A 21417-nucleotide genomic window follows, 5' to 3' on the forward strand; every position below is an offset into this window, starting at 1 on the left:
CAACCTTTAACACAATTCTCAAAGCCTGAAACATTGAGCCTAAGAGCTATATGGGAACTTTCCTAGAAGGGTCCCCTGATCAAGTTAGTTTGGGAACCATGGCAACTCCCATAGTCCTCTTAGAGGCCTACAGGGAACATACGCCTATTGTAGACTCTGAGAAGTCAGAAGTAGGAAACGGGCTTAACCTTAGTTAACCCAGTAGTTCCCAGACATATTGATGATGGAATCTTCTTTTTCCCACCATTTGGTTTTCCGTGGATTCCCTGTTATTTTTCCCAGGAATGAATGCTCTTTGGGGAGTGTCCAGGCAGTGCTGCTCGTGCTCACAAGCTCAAGGAGGGAGGTCTGTGCCACAGCCACGGCCCTGGGGTGGAGGTGCCAAAGGACACCTCAGTGGAGGAGGAGGGCATGGAAAGGCCGGGCCATCTGGGTCCTGCAGGGCGAGGTGCGTTTGGCACCCAGACAGGCTTCCTCCTTTGCCCTTGGTCAACTGGAGACCTGAGCATCTCAACCATGTGTGATGGCGTTCTGGTAACAGGGCCCTGAGAAAGGCTGGGCCTCCAAATCACTCATCTATGCTTAGCCTTACTCACAGGGAGCCTGCTGACCAGAGACCAAACCACGAGTCAGGTCTCTGAGACAGAGATACAGGAAGGAGAGAAAACTAGAGACCAGTGCTGATGCAGGGCCAGCAATCATGCAAGCTTCCCACTGGACATAGGAGAGCCATAATCAGCTATTGCTGGGAGGCTGCTGCAAGGCTGCCTGGCCAATGGTTAGACCAACAGGTGCATGGACAGCAGACCCCTGTCCCGGCCCAGAAGAGAGCCTTGGCTCTGGCAGAGCCTTTCTTAACCAAGGGTCCCTGAGTCAGGCAGATCAAAATCAGGAAAGCTGGGTGGGAAGACAGGATGGGGGTGGGAAGAAGTTGGGACCAAAGAGGAACTGAGCCCCTGATCCAGGTGGACCCACCCACCTTCAGCCTCCATGTCGGGAGCCTCTGGGTGCTGGGCAAGTGAGGTGTGCTGGAGAGACCCCAGGGTATGGTAGGGAAGTCTGGGAAGAGTAGGGCTATGTGAGAAAGCACCTGATGGACCTGCACTTCTACCTTGGTTCCAGTCTGGTTCTGACTTCCACCTTGCTGGGAGGGACTGGACCCAGCCCTCTGGCCTCAGGCACACATCTGTGGGATTCCTGGGAGCATATCATGTTGTGATGTTAGCGTCACACTGCTCTCTGGGAGGGTGCAGGCTGTGGGGCTCCTCTGCAGGTACATGCAGGGAGGGACATGTGGCCTCCCTGCCTGGTGGGGGACACTGCAGGTGCATTTGCCCACACGTCGTCAGGGCTGCCACTGTCAGTGAGAGTCCCTTAATCTGGTGCTATTAGACCTGAGAGATGTGGGGAGAAGGTGGGGAGGGGTGTGTGTCACCTCTAGACCTGGCTCCAGCCCCTTCATGACCCTCTTCTGGGCCAGCATGGTTTGAGAGGCAATGCCCACTTATTGGGGAGCTGACCAATATTTGGGCCCAGGGGTTTCTTGCCTGGCCACCATGACTTATGTCATCAACCGCTGTGCTGTGTGGTCCAAATGCAACCAGAGAAGACTGGGGATACTCAGGCAGGCCCCTGCTGAGCCTTGCCTCTTTTCAGTGCCCTCTTGCTCTGCAGAATCTGTTCCTATCATTCTCTCACAAGAGCCATCAGGGCGATCTAAGTGCATTCAAAGTGGACTCACACATCGAACAGATTTCCACTCAGTATAGCTCTGCAAATGAGGTCTCCCTGCACTCCTATTTAGAATAAAGGTGGCATTTCTGAAATGGTATTGAAAATCCTATTACTAGTTTTCCCCTTTCTTGGTTCCATTTTCCAACATCTGAACATTAAAAATGCCCATGATTTATGCCTCATTAAATCTACCTGTGAGGAGATTATATAAGATCTAAGTATGATTCTACATAAATACATTTAAAACATCAGTATCATTAACTAAATTATTCTGATTTTAAAGCAAAACAATAGGAAGAAGTATGGAGCTGCACCCCGCCTTAGATGACATCTGGTCTACTGAGGGGGAAACTGAGGCACAGGGAAGGCAAATGAAGGGCAAAAGCAGGATTCCAACCCAGGCTGTCTATCATCCCTCTCAGTGTTTCTTCCTCTGCTTCACTCTGCTTATTCACATGCCTCCTACCTTACAGACATTTGGCATTCCATTTAAAGTTAACATAATCCTGAATTACGATTTTAATATGTTTCCTATAATGGTCTGCCTTGTTATTGGTGGGGTTTATACTTTAGCTTTAGGATGACATCTGGTGCATGAGCTTTTTCCTTCTCCACCTGTGTCCATGGCAGACATTGCTAATCAATCATGACACTCTTCCCCTCCTGAACCCAAAGGTGGCCCCAGCCTCTCAGCATAGTGGCCCAGGAAGCAACTGTCAATTGGAGATTAGTCTATGAGGCTAAACCCATGTGCTCTCTTGAGAATTGTCCTGGAAGACTCTGGAACTTACCATGGGCATCTTTCCCTCCAGGTTGCCGGGGTCTTGTGTTTCCATTTTTATCACCTTGTAAACCTACAATATTCCAAAGATCAGAAGTATAGATACTTCAGAAGAAACAGAAATGCAAGCACTGATGACTCACCTTCTGGTGGTCCTTGCTTTTGACCCCTCCTCTTTACTCTCCTTTTCACAGTCTCCTTGTTCCCACCCCACTGACCACTGAATTGCTGCTTGAATTGCCAGGAACTTCCTGGTGTGGCAGAAGGAAGACTAAGAACCAGGAAGTGGCTGACAAGAAAGGGAGCTGCATTCTGCAACTGGAGTTAGTATTTGCTCTGACCTAACACTTTGGGTGATTCATTGGGTCCTCCTGGAACCTGGTGTTCCTGCCCTCTTTTGGAGTTTCCTGCTTTCTTGAATCCACTGCCAGATAATGCCGGGATAAGAACTGACCATGGATGGAAACAAAGATGCAGGAAGGGGAAAGCAGTTCGTGTGAAGGTCAAAACCTAGAAAGGTCAGGTCATAATTAAATTATTCCTTGGGAGGATTAAAGGCCAACTGAATCCCATAAATCTAAGACCGTAAAGGCAGAATTGTAGCCAATAGTTATTAGACTCCCTGGGCAAAAGGAAAGGAACTTTCCCTGCCGATCTGGAACCAGGTCAGGAAGATTTGGGTCCCTGATGGGATCAGGGGAGTTGAAGGTGGGGATGCCAAGGCAGGTAGTTTTATGCCCCTGAAGGCCACTTTAGGCTATAAATATAACAAAGAAGATTGCAACCACACATGGGTTATTCTGAGAAACAGTGCTCCATTTATTTCTCACACCTGCATTTTGTATTTCACACCTACATTTTTTTCCCACCTACCTTTTTGATAGAATGATAAAGGTTCGAAATGATAGCTAGCATTTGTTACACACTTACTATGCCTGGCTTGGGCTTTATATTTACTCTCTCATTTAATCTCATAATAATCTTATGAGGCAGATTCGCTTATTTTCCTTCTTTTATAGTTGACAAAACTGAGTTCAAAAGAGGGGTTAGGCCACTTGCCCAAGGTCACACAGCTGAAACATGAACCCAGTCAGTCGACCCTAGAGCCTGCCCTCTTTACAGTAGACTACTTTCTTGAGATCCTGACTGCTGATGACTACAGGACCAGACAGTTTTGGAGGACTTTGGCTCACTGCATGGACCTAAAGAGGACTTGAGCCTCAGTTGTTCTGCAGCCTCTGTTACTTAACCTGCATTCTTCCTGAGGTCCCTGTTTAACCATAAGGTGCACAGATGCAGGGAGAGGACCGAGAAGGGAGTTGGGGAGACATCATCGTCCTGGGCCTGGGCCTATGTGCACTGCACTGAGGGCAGCAAAGTATGGTGGTTAAGACCACAGGCTTCAGAGTCATACCTGGGTTCTGACCCACTTCTTAGCTGGGTGACTTGGGTAGTTACTTCACCTCTCTAAGCCTCACTTTGCTGATCTAAAAAGTGGGGATGATATTAGTATACATCAAAAGGTTAAAAAGTTAATAAATGTTAAAGTACTTAGCATTTTGCATGCCACTTTTCTGGCAGTAAACAAATGGTATCTAAAAGCAACAGCAACAACACTCTTGTGATGCAATGTGTCTTCAGCTAAATGTCTGTGTTACCTATGACTAGTTCCAGAGATGCAAAATCAGCGGTAGCTGGGTGTAGAGAAAAGAGTCTCCCAGGATAAAGCTGTCATGCTTCTGCCTTTTCCCAGTTTGCAGGCCCATGTCACTCTTCTCCTTCCCTCAGAAGATGCTTGGGCTGGGATCTGGCCCAACCAGCTGCCTTCAATCCTCTCTGCCAGCCCTCCACCATGAGTACCTGTGTCATACATACGTTTAGCCAAGGAGAACTTCTTGAGCAGCTGGGGCATGGCATCTCGAGGGTGGACTTCCACAGTCAGTTGTGTCCCTACAAAGGAAAAGGAGATGACATTCTCAACCAGATGCTGCCAGGAAAGGGTGAATGCCTCATGACTGATGATTGAATAAAAAAACAATTAGTTTTAGAACTTTCTTTTGTGTGTACAAATCATCCTTGTTTTTTTCTTTAAATCAAAACAACAACAAACCAAGCAGATAGTTTCCAGATTCAGGCAAGATGGAGTAAAGCACACTCAGCCCTGTCTCTCCCACTGAATGCAATTATAAACAATGTACTGAATGTAAGGGGCAACTACTAGAGGATTCTGCAAAGTAAATAATAGAATAACTGGGGAAGAGTGGGAAGAATTTTTAAAGCATTAGCAAATTGGCAGTGAATTTACCATTCTTCTTTCCCCTCTGGTATCATCTAGACTGGACTTAAAGGCATTCCCAAACCCAGAAGGGTACAGTGGATGCAGAAAAAGAGCACACAAGAGAAATCCTCTCTTTCTGGCTTGCAGAGTGAGAAAGGGAACCCCTAAGAGTCAGAGAGAGTGAAAGAAATCTTTTGTTGTTGTTTTTCCCCCACTTTATTCTGTTATTTCTCAACTCAGCCCCCAGGCAATTCTCTTGGTAGCAATGGCAGCAGTGATGTTGGTGGCCATGCAGCCACCTACAACTCTGGAGCAAGCATAACTATTTTCTTCTACCAGAGAAGTTATAATCCCAAGAATATGAGGGCAAATATTTACTGTTTTTTCTCTCTGTTTTCTGCTGATTTGCCCCAGAGGCAGACACAGTTGTGGGGCCTATATGGCAGAGTGAGGAAACTGAAGCTCCAGCTTTTTGGGTAGAGGAATGAGAAATGGGTCATGAAGAGGAGGGAGCTCAAGAAGGCAATTCCATAAAGTTGTAGATGGACTCCTGTGGTCACCTCTGAACTGTGCATGCATAGATCTCATCCTAAACATCATACCACAGTCTTCAGGAAGTAAACTGTGGGGTAGATTAAGGCCCAGGTTCCAGACTGGCCACTGGGTGGTGCACATGCAGGGCAGATCTGTATAGCATTGCAAAGGCTACAGTTCAAAATTACTCAGCTAGGAAGACTCAGGAAAGTCTTAATTTGAAAAGGAAAAGATAACCAACAGATGCCAACTCCACACACAAAAAACCAGCCACAATAACATGCCCTAACAAGTAATAGCAAACAGTTTTGAGATAAATGGAAAGATATAAAGTATCAGCGATAAAAAAGAAGATATAAAGGAGAAGTAAGTGAAGATTTTAGACTGAAAAATATAGTTAAAAATTCTCTGGATATACTCAATAGCAGAATGAAAATGACAGAGAACACAGTCAGAGAACTTGAAGATAGATCAACAGATATCGTCCAGTTTGAACAATAGAAAATGTAAGTAGTGCGTCAGAGATCTGTAGGTCAATACCCAAAAGTCTAACAGTCACATCATTGAAGTCTCAGAAGGCAAAGAGAAATAATATGATGCAGAAAAAATATTTGAGAAAATAATGAAAACTTCTGAAATCTGGCAAAAGACATAAAACCTTACTGATTCAAGAAACTCAGTGAATTCTAAACAGGATAAATGTAAGAAAATCCAAGTCCAGACACATAACCAAACTATTAAAGAAAAAAATATGGAAAGTAGCCAGTGAAAAGCGATGTAAAGCCAAGAGAATTTGGTACCAACAGACTTGCTCCAAAAGAAATGCTAACGGAAGTTCTTCAGACGGAAGAGAAATTATACCAGAGGAAAACTTGGAAGAGGGAGAGAAATGGTAAATATCTAGATAAATATATTAGTCTGCCCTCCTCTCAAGTTCTTGATAATATGAATAATAATTGAAAGAAATAATTATAACATCTGATAGGTTTTTGATATATTAGATGTAAAATATATGACAACTACAACATAGAGTAGGAGAGTGAATCTACCTATATGGAGGTAAGACTTCCTCATTCTACTTGAAATGTTAATATTCATTGTAATAGATTATGAAAAGTTAAGTACATATAATACATACAAAAATAGCTATTATGGAGATATAGTAAAAAAATAGGCAAATTTAAATGTAATTCTGAAAGGCAAGGAAAGCAGGAAAGGGGAAACAGAGGCACAAACAGAAAACAAATAATAAAGTAGAAAACCTAAATACAAATGTATCAGTAATTACATTAAGTGTAAATGGTCTAAACACACTAATTGAAAAATAGAGATTTTCAGAAAGGGTGAATACATAAGATTAAACTATATTCACTTTCCAAGGATCCAACTTTAACTACTATGATATAGGTTGGTTAAGTGAAAAGATAACAGAAAGCTGGAGTTGCTATGTTAATATCAGATCAGAGAAAGGAAAATATCAGGGATAGAGGAATATTAGCAAGAAGACATAACAACCTTCAATAGGCATACGTCAAACAACAAAGTTTTAAAATACATGAAACAAGAACTGATAGGACTAAAAGGAGGAATAGACAAATCTACAATTATAGTTCGAGATTTTAACACTAATCTTTCAGTCATTGAGAGAATTAATTGAAAGAAAATCAGCAAATATATAGAAGAAATGAACTACACAATGAATAAAATTTATTTGATGTTTATAAAAGATTCCATCTAATAACAGCACAACGCACATTCATGTCAAATGCCCATTGAATAATCACCAAGATGGACTATATCCTTGGTCACAAAACAAACCTAAAAAGTTGAAGAGAACTGAAATCATACAAAACTCCTCTTTGACCAAAATGAACTAAACTAGAAGTAAAAAACAGAAAGCAACTGGAAAATGTCCAAGTATTAAAAATTAACATACTTTCAAATCACACATAGATCAAAGAAGAAGTCTCAAGGAAAATTAGAAAATATTTTGAACTCATTGAAAATGAAAATAAAACATATCAAAATGTGTGAGATGAAGCCAAAGCAGTGCTTCAAGGGGAAATTTGTAGCATTAAATTCTTATTACAGAAAAAAGAAAGGTTTCAAATCAACAATCTAAGCTTCCATTTTAAGAAAGTAGAGAAATGAAGACTAAATCCAAGGCAAGCAGAAGGAAGAAAATCATAAAAATAAGAGAATAAATCACTGAAGTTAAAAACAGCAACAGAGAATAATCAATGAAACTAAATGCTGGTTCTTTTTAAAGATCAGTAAAATTGATGAACTTCTAGCTAGAATGACCAAGAAAAAAAAGAGGCAAGACACAAATCAGGGGTAAATACACCAATATCAGGAATGAAATGAGGGCTATCGCTACAGACCCTCATATGTATTAAAATAATAATAAAGGAATGCTACAAAACTTCTGTGCACATAAATTCTACAACTTAGATGAAATGGGCCAATTCCTTAAAAGTCACTAACTACCACAAAACTCATATAGGAAGCAGATAACCTAAGTATTCCCAATACCTATTTGTTAAATTAAACTTGTAGTTTAAAATCTTCCCCCCAAAAGCCAGGCCCAGATAGCTTCAGTGGTAAATTCTAACAAACATTTAAAGTAAATAACATCAATTCTTCATAGGATCTTTCGTAAAACAGAAGAGAAGTGAATGCTTCATAACTCATTTTATGAGGCTAGCATTAATCTGATATCAACACAAAGACAGCAAAAGAAAAGAACACTACAGACCAATACCCCTTATAAATGTAAACACAAAAATCTTCCACAAAATATTACAACATTAAATCCAACAATATAGTAAAAGAAAAATATACTACAACCATGGGTGGTTTATTTTGGGAATGCAAAGCTGGTTAAATATTTGGAAATCAATGAATGTAATTCACCATATTAACAGGCTAAAGAAGACAAACTACTAGGATCACACCTATTGGTGTAGAAAAATGCATTTGACAAAATTTAACATCCGTTCATGATAAAACCTCTCAACAAACTAGGAATAAAAGGGAACTTTCTTAATCTGAAAAAGGAAACCTACAAAAAGCATACAGCTAACAGCATATTTAATGGTGAAACATGGTTATGCTTTCTTCCTAATATTGGGAACAAGTCATAGATATCCACTCTCACTGATCCTAATAATATTGTACTGGAAGTCCCACCCTGTGTAATAAGACAAGAAAGAGAAATAAAAGGCATACAGATTGGCAAGGAAGAAATAAAACTGTCTTTATTCACAGTTGATATGTCTGTCTACATAGGAAATCCCAAGTAATCTACAAGAAAAAGCTCCTAGAACTAATAAGTTAGTTTAGCATGGTCACGGTATACAAGGTTAACATACAAACATCGATTGTATTTCTGTATATTGGCCATAAGCAATTGGAGATGGCATTTAAAAATAACCATTTCCCATAGTTCCAAAATTAAAATGTTAGTTATAAATCTAAAACAAACAAAAATCCCAAACATGTGCAATAATCGCATACTGAAAACTCCAAAATATGATTACACACATTAAAGATGACTTAAATAGATGGGGAGACATACCATGTTTATGGATTGGAAGACTTAAAATTGTCAAGTGGGCAATTCTCTCAAAATTGATCTACAGATTTAATGCAAGTTCAACCAAACATTTTGGGGGAATTGTGCAAATATATAATTATAAAATATAGACATCAAGGCACAGGAACTGGAATAACTAAACTAATTTTGAAAAAAAAAGATGGGAGGACTCCCACTCTTTGATTTTAAGATGCATTAATGAAAAGCTGTAATCACAACAATGTGATGTTGGTAAGAGGATAGATAAACAGATCAATAAACAGAATAATAAAAAATAGACTCACACAAACATAGCAAAATAAATTTTTACAAAAGTGCAAAGACAATTCAGTTGGAAAAAGGGCAAAAGAATAGATATTTTACTATAAAAGAGATTTTGGATGGAAAATAAGCACATGAAAAGATGTTCAGCATCATCAGCCATTAGGAAAAGGCAAGTTAAAACCAAAATGAGACATCACATCTATTAGAAGAGCAACAATATGCAACTGGCCCTTGAACAACATGGGTTTGAACTGCACGAGTCCACTCATATGGTCCTTTTTTTCTACCAAATGCAGATGGAGAGTACTGTTCATGGAATGCAAAACTCGCATAGAGAGGGCCAACTTTTCCTACATGGGGTTTCTGCAGGGACGACTGTGGGACTTGAGTATGCCCACATTTGGTTATATGTGGGTGGTCCTGGAACCAATCCCCCATGTATACTGAGGGGTGACTGTAATTTAAAAATAGTGATAATATCATATGCTGACAAGGATGCAGAGAAATTGGATCTCATATATTGCTAGTGGGATTGTAAAATAGAACAGTCACTCTGGAAAATAGTTTGGCAGTTTCTTATAAAACAAAACATGTACTTACCATACAACCTAAAAATTGCCCTGTTGGGCATTTATCCCAGAGAAATGAAAACTTATGTTCACACAAAAACCTGTACACAAATGTTTGTATAGCAGCTCTATTCATAATCACCCTGAACTGGAAACAACTTAAACGTCCTTCAATGAGTGAATGGATAAACAACCTGTGGTACATCCATATCAAGAAATAGTTCTCAGCTGGGCATGATGGCTCATGCCTGTAATCCCAGCACTTTGGGAGGCCGAGGTGGGTGGATCACTTGAGGTCAGGAGTTTGAGACAAGCCTGGCCAATATGGTGAAACCCCATCTCTACTAAAAATACAAAGATTAGCTGGGCATGGTGGCAGGCACCTGTAACCCCAGCTACTCGGGAGGCTGAGGCAGGAGAATCGCTTGGACCTGGGAGGCGGAGGTTGCAGTGAGCCGAGATCGTGCCACTGCAGTCCAGCCTGGACAACAGAGCGAGACTCTGTAAAAAAAAAAAAAAAAAAAAAGTACTTCTCAACAATACAAAGGAACTCTTAAGAGTGATGGGAGGATTAGAGTCCACACAAGATAATTTTAAAGAGGGAAATAGAACTGCTGTATATTCCGATGGTGGTGTATTCTGGATATTCTGATGATGGTAACCACCATAGTGGTGGTTTCACAAATCTATGCATGTGTTAGCAATCAGAACTACACACTACAAACATTCGATTTTACTGTATGTTAATTTAAAATAAAAATAAAAGCAAAAATACCAACCACACACAAAAAAACCCAAGCAGAATTAAAACAAAAACTTGGATGATACAGAACGATATAAAGCAGAAAGTGAAACTCCTTTAAGACTTCATTTCCACATTTAAAAATCCAAAGCCGATTATAGTAAACATATTTTTCATAACCTGCTTTCTTCATTTAAATCTTTACATGTCAGTGAGCATAGCCATATGTTATCATTTCAAATGGCTACATAGTATTCTATTTTGTAGATGGTTTATAATCCATATAAGCAATCCCTTTTTGTTGAATATTTAGCTTTTTACAGTTTTGCTATTAGAAATGATGTGATGAACACTCAGATACATACATCTTTGTATGTATGTAAAGTGATTTGCACACTTTGCAAATCAGTTCCTTTGAATAAATTCTGAAGTATGAATCAAATAATATGGATATTTTAAAGGCTTTTGTTAGATATTGGCAAAATTTTCTTATGAATGATTTTATCAATCTATGATCTTATCAGTAGTGCAAGAGAATGCCCATTGTGCACATTCTTGCTGTGCTTGATTGCAAAACTGGTCACAAAGTGCAATTCCTCCCAATGAGAGGTCTTTTGTTCCACCCCTTGAATTTGGGCTGGGCTTTTGACTTGGTTTGGCCAATTAGCACATGCCAGAAGTGATGTTGCACAAATTCTGAGCCTAGGCTTCTAGAAACTTTGAGGCTTCCATTCTCATTCTTGGGATCCCAGCCATAACAGCCATGTGAATGAGCCAGGTTGTAGATGAGAGCCCACATGGAGCACAGCATAGCCTCTCAGGTGAGGCTATCCCAGACCAGCTGGTCTCCAGCCAACCCACCAGCTGACAACAAGCACATGAGCAAGCCCACCCAAGACCCAAGATCAGCTGGGTGTGGCTCCAATGAGAATTTCTAGCTAACCTGCAGATTGGTGAGCTCGTAAATGCTTATTGTCTAAAGCTGCTAAGTTGTGTGGTGGTTTGTAATGCAAAAATAGATCACATATTCACTCACTGATGTTTGGTTTTATCAACCCTTTAAATTTTTATCAGTGAATAATAATACCTGGTTGTGTTGTATATTTCTTTAGTTTTATTGTAGTAGTCTTTGCCTATACTTAGTTACCATTTTAAATTCTTATTTTGTGAATTGGCTATTTTCCTATTGAAGTATTATTTTTTCCTCATTGATTTTGTAAAACCTCCTTTTACTAACCCTTTGCCTGCTAAATGCATTGCAATTATTTTTCATAGAATAACAATACTGTCTTTTTTGTGTAGCTCATAAACTTGTTCTGCATGCCAAAGAGGGTCATTCTCAAACAATTTGAAAAGATACAATGTGGCCTCTGCAAAGCATAGCTTTGAAGGGGTTAACATTCATTTTGAAGTGTAGTTTCCAGCATATTCAATGTTGAGAGAAAATCAGCCTTGTGAGTTTGTAATTAAAACATTAAGCATTTCAGAGTTCAAGGCATAATTCAGTTCTGGTCGTAGGACTGGGTGCTATCGCCATCAGCAGCAAATACTTTCTGTGTGTCTTCCCATCATCAGTGAGGCATGGGCCTGTTCTTTTCCTTTTCACTTTCTCCACCTCAAACCCTCTGAGGTGTCTTTTAAAGTGAGTGCTAAGTGGTACTTGACTTCAAGATGCCTTGTGAAAAATGAATTGAGAAACATGTTCACTCTCTCCCCTCTCATAGGTCACAATACACAATGATCTGAGTAGTCCTGTAGTAAAGAACTCTATTTGACCCAGTACTATTTTGTCAAACACCATTTGGAAAATGCTGGACTGGAACAATCTCCATAAGCTTAGAGAAACTGCAAAAGTGAACAACTTATTGGCATAGGGTTCAACAACAAATCTCTTCCCCAAACTTCTCATAATGCCCAGGTACTTTCACACGCACATCTGACAGTCTTTGTTAATTTATCGCTTCAGGCAGCCACTTCCAATAAGTCACAGTTAATGAAAAACATGAAACTTGTTTGCCATCCTGCGTTACATGCCCTGAGCCATGTCTCTATGGGTATTAGCCATGTCCTACTTCAGCCATGTCTCTTTGTGAAAGAGTGATCAAGGTGAAAAACAAACTGCTGTTAAAGCCCCTCCAGGGCAGGGTGTTGAGGTGGGCTCATGTTCGGAGCACGGCCCTGGCCCAGATGCTCCAGCCATCACTATTCCTAATCCCTTCTCTCCTTTCTGTGATTCCTCTTCCCTCTTGGACAGGGGTCAATGTCCAATATTTTCCTGAATCCCACTTCCCGGTTCTCCCCCAAAGCTGTGCTGCTGCTTAGCATTCCCTCAAGGAAAACAGCCACTTTCTCGTCCTCCCTGATCTGCATGGGAGTGTGATTCCTGCTCTCACTTACTGTTGTGTGAGGGCACCACTGGGAGGCTTTGCTGGCTCCAGGAACTGGGCCTGGGCTGGACACGCTGTTTCAAGGGGAAAAGCATTCACAATATAGCTTTATGCTTCCTTAAGGCATGGAGTGGAGAGAGTTTGCTGGCTATGACGCTACTGGATCAAATAAAACTCTTAATTTAAGAAAAAATATTAGTGTGGCCAATCTCTAACAGAGAGTAGATCATTTGGAGTAAAATTCGCAGTCAGATCTAAACCCTAAGTACAGCCTAAGTACAGTACATTATTCCAATCTTGACTATTAACCACCACAACCAAACCTACAGGAGGCCTTTCCTGGGATTCCAGGCTGCCTGGCTGGCCTCTCTCATGCATCCCTCCCCAGCTCCACCAGTTGTCAACAAAATCACATTTCTGAAGCTGCAGCTTTGACCGTCTTAGTTAAGAGCATGTTAGAGATTATTTTCTGCTAATCTTGAGAACGGGCTCCCTGGCCCCTTTCCTAGACCCCGCCAGCTCTCCTTGCTTTTCCCTGCCTTCTCAGAAACAGAGCATACAGGCAAGCACAAGAATGTCCACATGCTTACTGCCCTGCCTTTCACCCAGTCAGGTTTCTTCCACCTGACAGCTGCTCTCCAGATCTCTTCAGGTTTCAATCAGGATTTATCTAAAGGCCTAATTGGCTCAGAACACCTAACGCAGTATGGCAAACAGGTTTCATGTTTTTCATTAACTCTGACTGATTGGAAGTGGCTGCCTGAAGGGATCAATTAACGAAGACTGTCAGGTGTGTGTGTGTGTGCATGTGCACATGCACACGGGTGTATATGTGTGTGGAGGGGTCATGGGATTCATGTGAAATACTTGCCATCATTGGTTTAAGGTGTTTGTTAACTTTTTCTATAACAGGTTGGCACATTTACAGCCTTTTTTTTTTTTCTACTTTGGAGTTTTTTTTTTTTTTTCCTGCAGTAGCTTAGAGTCAGGAAAACAGCTAAAGCATTGGTAGTTTAAAAAAAAATACCCTTAAAGAGTCCCTGGTTAGATATTCAACAGAGACATGCTGTGATTCCACCCAGGATGCAGTAGTCAGGAAGTGGAAAGCAGTGACATCCCAGGAATGAGCCTGCTAGATGGTGACAGGGACTGTCTAGCTCTGTAGAACATGATGGAACACCACCCTTAGGGGGTACTGCCAAACACAGCATGAAAACCCCACTCAGCAGCTCTCATTATGAGATGACAACCTAGTGTTCCAGAGCTCAGGGCTGTGACTGGGCATCTGCTGGTGTGCATGATGAAGGGCATCACTGGCAGCCCTGCCCATGGCTTCCATTAGGAACGGAAAACAAAGGACCATTCATGATTCCTTCTATGGGTTGGAGCTCCACAGGGAGGTCTGAGGTCTGGAAACATGGCAGTTTGACCCTAGTGCACACATCAAAGAAGACTACTCTACAAAGTGTTTGCATGGGGATAAGGGCTGATGACCTTGAGGACAGAAGCCTCAACAGAAAACTGACTCCTCAAGAATGTCCTTTGGGGTCAGGCATGGTGGCTTATGCCTGTAATCCCAGCACTTTGGGAAACTGAGACAGGGGGATTGCTTGAGCCCAGGGGTTTGAGACCATTCTGAGCAACATAGTGAGACCCCATCTCTACAAAAAACGAAAAAAAAAAAACCAGCCATGTGGTGGCACTCACCTGTGGTCCCAGCTACTCGGGAGGCTGAGGAAGGAGGATTGCTTGAGCCCAGGAGTTTGAGGCTGGAGTGAGCTATGATCGCACCTCTGCACTCCAACCTGGGCCACAGAGTGACACCCTGTCTCAAAAAAAAAAAAAAAAAAAAAAAAAAAAAGAAAGAATGTTCTTTGCAGGGGCTCCTTGTGATTACTCTCCTTACAAATTCATTCAACCCACACACCCACTACAGATCCATCTCCAAAGCCCCTTCCCATGACCCAAGATTCCAATGTTCCTTTGCCACCTGTTGCATAAAGTCTACCATTGAAAGAGAGGCTGAGGAGGAGAGAAAATGTTGAACCATTCCGAGCAATGAGTTCAGACTGAAATCTCAGACTGCACATTGAGGGTGGGGGTTGGGTGGGGGGTACTGCACCCAAATCAACACCACCAGATTGGTCCCTGTCCTGTATGGAAGAGACAGTATGGGGGAGTAGTTAAGCCCACCGCTTTCGAGAGCCCACAGACATGGGTTCAACTTCTGGGTCTGGTATGCGACTTCAGGCAAGTTATTTAAATATCTTTGAGCTTCCCTATCTGTAAAATGAGGATGATAACCTTCCACAAAAGGTGGTTGTGGAGATTAAATGAGGTGAGCCGTGAGAGGGGCTTAGCTTAATATCTGGCACACACCAAGTGTCCCACCTCTGGTCAACGCTATTACTGTGATAGAGCTTCCAAGAAGGCTTCTCTGGGGGCCGGTGTGGTTCGCAGAACAGAGCCCAAAGGTTGTCAAGGCTCATGAGATGAATAAGAAAGTGGCACATGGAGTAACGATTCCCTGGCCACAGCTTTCCAAAATGGCAGGTGCTGGCACCAACCTCAACAAAGCCAAATTTGAATTCATGTTTCTTTCCCAACCTGCTCTTCCTGCATCTCCCTCATCTTCATCCTCCCCATTGCTCAGGTCCCAAGCCTTGACTCCTCTCTTGTATACCCCAAATCCACACCATGGGGGAACCTCTCTTGCTGGATTATCACAATGCCTCTTAAGGGTTGTCTTGCTTCCAACCTTGCCCCCTCTGTTTATTCTCTACGCATTGGATGTCTACAACCATCTAATGGTTTCCAATCACACTCAGATTAGAAGCCTCCCAGGCCCTGCCAACTCTGCCCTGTGTCCTCTCTGGCTCTTCTGCTACCCCCACCTTGCCCATGCCCCTCTCTTCCTCTCCACAGCACAATTTCCTGCTCCTTGAACATGCAGACACGCTCCTGCCTGGGGGCCTTCACGCTCACTGCTCCCTCTGCTGGAAGCTCTTCCCCAGATACCCACATCATTTGCTCTTACCTCTTTCCTTGCTTAGATGTCACTTTCTCAGTGAGGCCTTTCTCACCTACTCCACTTTAAATTGTCCCCTGGGATAGGCTGAAGAATGGCCTTTAGAGATATCCATGCCAGAATCCCTGGAACCTGTGAATGTTACCTAATATGGTAAAGAGGACTATGTGGATGTGATTAAATTAAGGATCTCAAGATAGGGAGACCATCCTGATTATCTGGCTGGGCTCTGAATGCGACCACACATATCCTTAAACAAGGGAGCACAGGGAGAGTCAGCTATTTATAAGCAGAGAAGGCAATGTGACAATGGAAGCAGAGTTTGGAGTGAGGCAGCCACAAGCCATGGTGGGCCTGCAGCCTCTAGCAGCAGGAAGAGGCAAGGAATGAATGCACCCCTAGAGCCTCTAAAAAACGCTGGCCCGGCTGACACTTTGACTTTAGCCCGGTGAAACAGATTTTGGACTTCTGGGCTCCAGAAGTGTAAGAGAATAAATCTGCAGTATTTTAAGCCACCTCATTTGTGGAAATTTCCTGTAGCTGCTATAGGAAATGAATATACAACCCCGCACAGCCCCAGACCCCATACCCGCACACACCCCTTATCATCCTTCCTGCTTTACTTCCCCCTTATACCTTATCTGGCTCAGGGTGTTTGACTTGTCAGGATTGTCTGTGTCTCCTCACTAGGATGTCAGCTCCACAAGGACAGGGGCCTTTGTCTGTCTTCTTCACTAAGTGAGGTAAGTGGTGCTAATCCACTCTCATTATAGCCAGATATCTCTGAGTCCTTTTTTTTGTGTTGAGCCATGTGCAGTTGAGTTCATTTTAGAGAAGCAACAGGACAGAGCATGGGCTTGTCCTTGTAGTTCTCAGGGCTGGTGGCAGGTCCTGCTGGGCCCACAGAGGTCTCTAAGGCTGTCATAGAGCTGCATTCTCAGGAATTCTGGCTTAAAGGGACACTGGCCTGTACTGTGAGGAGAGCCAGCTCCCCCATGCTGGTAATCCCAGTTGGCTGGCCTTTCATCACTACCTGCCAGCGCCTTTCTATAGAGAAGCTTGTCCACCTGTATTTCAGAGAGCAATTCCCTGAGAGGCTCCAATCCTCCGGGGCCTCCAGAGTCCTCCTGTTTCATATGGGGCATGGGGGAAATCACTGCCTCTGAATTTGATCAGATAATTTCCTTATAGGTTAGGACATCAACTCTCAGAGCAAGCGTGATGAACTCTTATGGCTGAGCCTGTGAGAATACTCAGACACCAGGGCCCAGTATTTAATGCACAGCAGTTAACCAAGGTGGGCGTGAGAGTCTCTAACCTGGCCTCCTGTCACCATTGCTGTGGGGCCCTCCTGTCTCTATCTTGTCGTGTGCTCAGATCCAGTCAACTGTAGTCAGTGATGCCCTTGCCTGCCTTCCCCGAGTCCCCAGAGCCTGTCCCCAAAAAGTGAGGACTCCCAATGAAGGTGCCTCTCACTCTGCCTTGCTGTGGCAAACTCACTGGGTGGGATGCCCTGGGAAGGCTCAGTCTCAGCAGGAGAGGCCGAAGAACTGCTATTGGTCAGGACAAGGGAGGGCTTGGATGCCATGAGCCAGAGGGAGGGAGGCTGGTTTCCAGGGGAGATGAGGAAGCAGAGATGTGTGAAGGTTAACAGCTGAGGCCTTGCTGGGGCTCAGACTGCCCAGCTCTGACTCTTGCTGGCCATGTGATCTTGAACACATGACAGCCTTTCCAAGCCTCAGTTTACTCATCTGTAATTTGAGGATGGTAAAGAGGAGTACCTGTCAAACAGGGTTGCTGTGAAGCTTAATTTACATGAGAATAAGTGCATAAGTGGCTTGGCAGGGTGTCTGGCACATAGTTAGCATTCAACAAATGTTGAATGTTGAATAGTGATGACAGTAATAGTGATGATGATGACAGCAGCGTGCTCTGAGGCCCATGGGCTTTATTTCTTGATCTCATGGTGAGGGGAAGACTGAGACTGTGCAGCCTCTTGCTGCTTCCCATGAGACGCAGGGAGAGGAAAAGGGTTTTCCAACACCCATGGGAGCAGAGAGGACCCTGCTCCCCATAGTCTGAGCTCCACATCCTGGGCTGTCGCTGGCCAGAGCATCAGGTCTGGGCACACCTCTGCAGGGGAGGTCACGGCTAGCGGCGAATCACTTACCTTGGCTGTTGTAGGAAGTGATGACCTGGGGCTGCTGAGGGTGCTGCTTCTCCACCAAGTTTTCTATTTAAGGAAGACAGAGAGGCCTGCAGTGACCACTGGGGAATTTTCCCCAGGCAGAGCAAAGAGCTGTATGTGTTTGCGGGAAAGGTGGGCTGGCGGGGGCCAAGCACATCCCCAGGCCTAAATGTGTGCACACCCTCACAGTGTGCACATGTGCAAACCAGCACGACACTGTGCATGGAGACAAATGCCTGGAAGCCCCTGTGCACACACCCCTTGTGCCTCTTAGCAGGTGCCAGCACAGGCTGGGTTTCTTCTGGAACAGGCTACCAGTCTTCCATGGTCTTTGTAGCCATAACTCCCAACTTTGGTGTCACCAGGCACAGTTTCAAAAGCACTGCATACACAGATGCCTCATTGATCTTCACACATTTCTGTGGAGCAGGCTGGGAGGTTCTGACCTGGGACTTGAACCTCAGGTCTTCTGACTCCCAGTTGAGTCTCCTGCTTCTTTTTTTTTTTTTTTGAGACGGAGTCTCGCTCTGTCACCCAGGGTGAAGTGCAGTGGCGCGATCTCTGCTCACTGCAAGCTCCGCCTCCTGGGTTCGTGCCATTCTCCTGCCTCCACCTCCGGAGCAGCTGGGACTACAGGTGCCCGCCACCACACTGGCTAATTTTTTGTATTTTTAGTAGAGACGGGGTTTCACCATGTTAGCCAGGATGGTCTCGATCTCCTGACCTTGTGATTCACCCGCCTCAGCCTCCCAAAGTGCTGGGATTATAGGCGTGAGCCACCGCGCCCGGCCGAGCCTCCTGCTTCTTAATGAGAAGAACAGGGGGCCAGCCTGCCTCCTACCCCAGCCTAGGAGACGGGATGATGTGTAGTTTGGTTCTGTTTCACAAACATTTGCAGGGCATGCACGCTACACACGTTCTCTCCACATGCAGGGATATTTCTGTCCCTGGGACACAGAGTTGTCCTCAGAGCCTAGTGGGGTCAGGCTGCCATGGAGTGATGCCTAGTTCCTGCCATAGGCCAAGAAGCGGGAGCTCACAGGCTTACTTGCCCTCCCAGGGGAAGCATGACCTTTCCTCCCTTCTTTACAGCTGCTGCTGTGGCCTGCTGTTACTGAAGCTGCCCTTGAACCTCTGCTTCAGAGGGGTGGGGGGAAGGCTGGGCAAGGGGAGGATGGTGGCAGCTGGAGGTTCCCCCACCACTACCACTCTGGCCTGCCATCTTCTCTCTATAGCTTCCTGCTGGCTTGCAGTGGGCTTGTCACTGGAAGTGACCAATGGGACCAGTGCCTTAGTCTGGAAACAAGTATGCCTCTGGGGCATTGGCCTGAACAGGTGCATTTAGATGATTCTTCTTGTGCAGATCAGCCGCTCAGTGGTTCCCGTGCCTGGGCCCATGCAGAAGCCAATCAAGGTGGGGGGTGAGGTACTGAGCCAGGCTGGATTTGTGATCCACCTGACAGAGTCCTGCCCTGGAAAGCCTGCCTCCTCCAGCCTTCTCCTATGAACAGGCCCAGCTAGGTCCCTGAGCCCCACACTAGTCAGCCAAGGGCTAGGTCCACTGTGTATTCCAATACAGGGTGATGTGGCATGCGGGGCTGGAGCCCCAGATCAGGCGAGGAAAGGGAGGCCAGGACCGCCTTCTGCAGGCACAGCTGGCAGTGCCTCGGCTGGCTGAGGGAGGAAACAAGATCCGGGAAGGGAATCCTCAAGGAGGGTGATTGGCTGGCATAGCTGCTGTGGGGTATTTATAGTCAAGGCTGCACAATTGGTTTCCCTTTAGCTGTGGGGCGTCTGTCCCTGTGCTACTAGGCAGACTTTGTCCAGGACCAAGGAAAGTAGCCAATCACAGCAGGGGAAGCCCGTTGCTGGGCAAGCTATTGGGGTGGGGTAGGAGGGTGAGGAGGCGGCTGGGCCCAAACACCTGCTGCTTCGAAAAGTTTGGAGCTCTCTAGTCTCAACACCCTGCCAGTGTTCCAGCCCAAGCAGTGCACGGGGTAGCAAGAGGGGGAAAATGTGCCCTTCTGGATCCACCCCATGCTCAGCAGCATCTGTGTGCACTCCACCAGCACATGCCATCAGCCACTTCCTTCTAAGATGGAAGCCATCCAGTTACCAGGGCTGGGCGGCCTGCTGGTTACCAGGGCTGGGTGCCTTGGGCACCAGTAAGGCAGGTATGAGAAAAGGTCAGCTTCAATACCTGCACTCAGAATCTCGACATCAGAAAACACAGAAAGAAACTAATTTTAATTTCTGCATGCATGCAAACGTACCATTTGAAAAATAAATGAAATTTCGCTTTACACATGTTGATGGAGTGGTAGAAGCGTCATTTTTTCTGGGCTCAGGGCCTCTGTGGAGCCTCTGTCCAGCCCTGCATTTACCTGAAACTTCCAGTTCTCATGGTGGTTTTGCAAGAACTATTTTAGTCATCTTCTATCAGCTGACACATAGTGCTAAGACCCACTTCATGTCTTTTACAAGAGTCTTATAATGGTCTTGTAATAGTCAATGTGTCACTTTGTGTTTTGTGATATTTTTCCACTAAACTTCTCCCAAATCAGAAACCCGGAAGATGGTAAAAATAGAATGAATTCAGTGTATTTCAATCCTCTCCTGATGTAATAACATGCCTGAGAAGCCCTAAGATGAGTGTCAGACAACTCAGGCAAGGTATGAGACAGCTGCAACCAACAAGGATGCTGTGCTTCTTTGTTTCCACCTGTGGCTTGCTTGCCCACTCACCAGCTCACACATGGGCTTAGCATGCATACCTTCCATGCCCTGCATGGCCATTTCTGTGGCTAACAGGTCTCTGGGGGTCTGATTCTTATTAAAATTCTCAATAACCCATAGCAGAGTTTTGTTAGCTTTGGCGTCTACTTCAGTAGAGCTAAAGCTGGCATGTCTACCAGCTGATGGCCCCTGTAGCAAGATTACAGGGAAGCCATTGCACCCATGCATGCCTGTCAGGGTGGCTCCCTGGCAGTGGTGGGGTGGGGATGGGGAGTGTGTCTTGAGGACTCTTACCAAAGGCAGGGGACACAGGAAGACTCTTCAACTCCAGGGTGTTGAGACTCCCCTGCAGTGCATTATAATTCCAATCATTTTAATGTAGCTCCCCTGAGGGCAGTGTTCTTGGCTGTCTTTTTCCCTGTTTCATTTCCAATATTTAGAATCATGCCTGGCACAAAGTAAGCACTATAGGCATTTGTGAACAGAATGAGTGAATGAATTCACTTTTAGAACTTCATCTTTCCCTTTCATTATTGTCAGAAGGATGGTAGAACATAGCAGTTTAGTCCTATTCATCT

General features: G+C 44.3%; 2 protein-coding genes across 13 annotated transcripts in view, besides 2 other annotated features; one reads left to right on the forward strand and one right to left on the reverse strand.

Annotated features, from left to right (window-relative positions):
* CEP63 (centrosomal protein 63) overlaps positions 1-21417 on the forward strand; it is a 296836-nt gene that overhangs the window by 139507 nt on the left and 135912 nt on the right. The window contains exon 14 of one of the 8 annotated variants that reach the window (XR_007095729.1): positions 2710-4569. The exons of the other annotated variants lie outside the window; for them this stretch is intronic. The gene's annotated coding sequence lies outside the window, so the exon portion shown is untranslated. Of the gene's footprint in view, positions 1-2709; positions 4570-21417 lie in introns of those variants that run through there. 8 annotated transcript variants of the gene reach the window in all.
* The window catches only part of KY (kyphoscoliosis peptidase), a 51100-nt gene that overhangs the window by 25308 nt on the left and 4375 nt on the right, over positions 1-21417 (reverse strand). For 2 of the 5 annotated variants that reach the window (NM_178554.6, NM_001366277.2), the window contains exons 3-5: positions 18086-18148; positions 4391-4465; positions 2526-2588 (exon numbers count right to left, since the gene is read on the reverse strand). In NM_178554.6, coding sequence (NP_848649.3) covers positions 2526-2588; positions 4391-4465; positions 18086-18148 — 201 coding nt within the window. Of the gene's footprint in view, positions 1-2525; positions 2589-4375; positions 4466-18085; positions 18149-21417 lie in introns of all 5 variants that reach the window. The other 3 variants (NM_001366276.1, NM_001350860.2, NM_001350859.2) reach the window with 2 other exon arrangements.
* Positions 17800-18641: an enhancer, noted in NCBI's record as "H3K4me1 hESC enhancer chr3:134361872-134362713 (GRCh37/hg19 assembly coordinates)". NCBI's record gives its function as "activates a minimal SCP1, AML or CMV promoter by ChIP-STARR-seq in primed H9 embryonic stem cells {active_cell/tissue: H9 hESC(primed)}" and the evidence as "EXISTENCE:reporter gene assay evidence [ECO:0000049][PMID:30033119]".
* Positions 18899-19563: an enhancer, noted in NCBI's record as "H3K4me1 hESC enhancer chr3:134362971-134363635 (GRCh37/hg19 assembly coordinates)". NCBI's record gives its function as "activates a minimal SCP1, AML or CMV promoter by ChIP-STARR-seq in primed H9 embryonic stem cells {active_cell/tissue: H9 hESC(primed)}" and the evidence as "EXISTENCE:reporter gene assay evidence [ECO:0000049][PMID:30033119]".

The sequence above is a fragment of the Homo sapiens genome, chromosome 3 (genome assembly GCF_000001405.40).
Source record: "Homo sapiens chromosome 3, GRCh38.p14 Primary Assembly".
In the NCBI taxonomy this organism is placed as follows: Eukaryota; Metazoa; Chordata; class Mammalia; order Primates; family Hominidae; genus Homo; species Homo sapiens.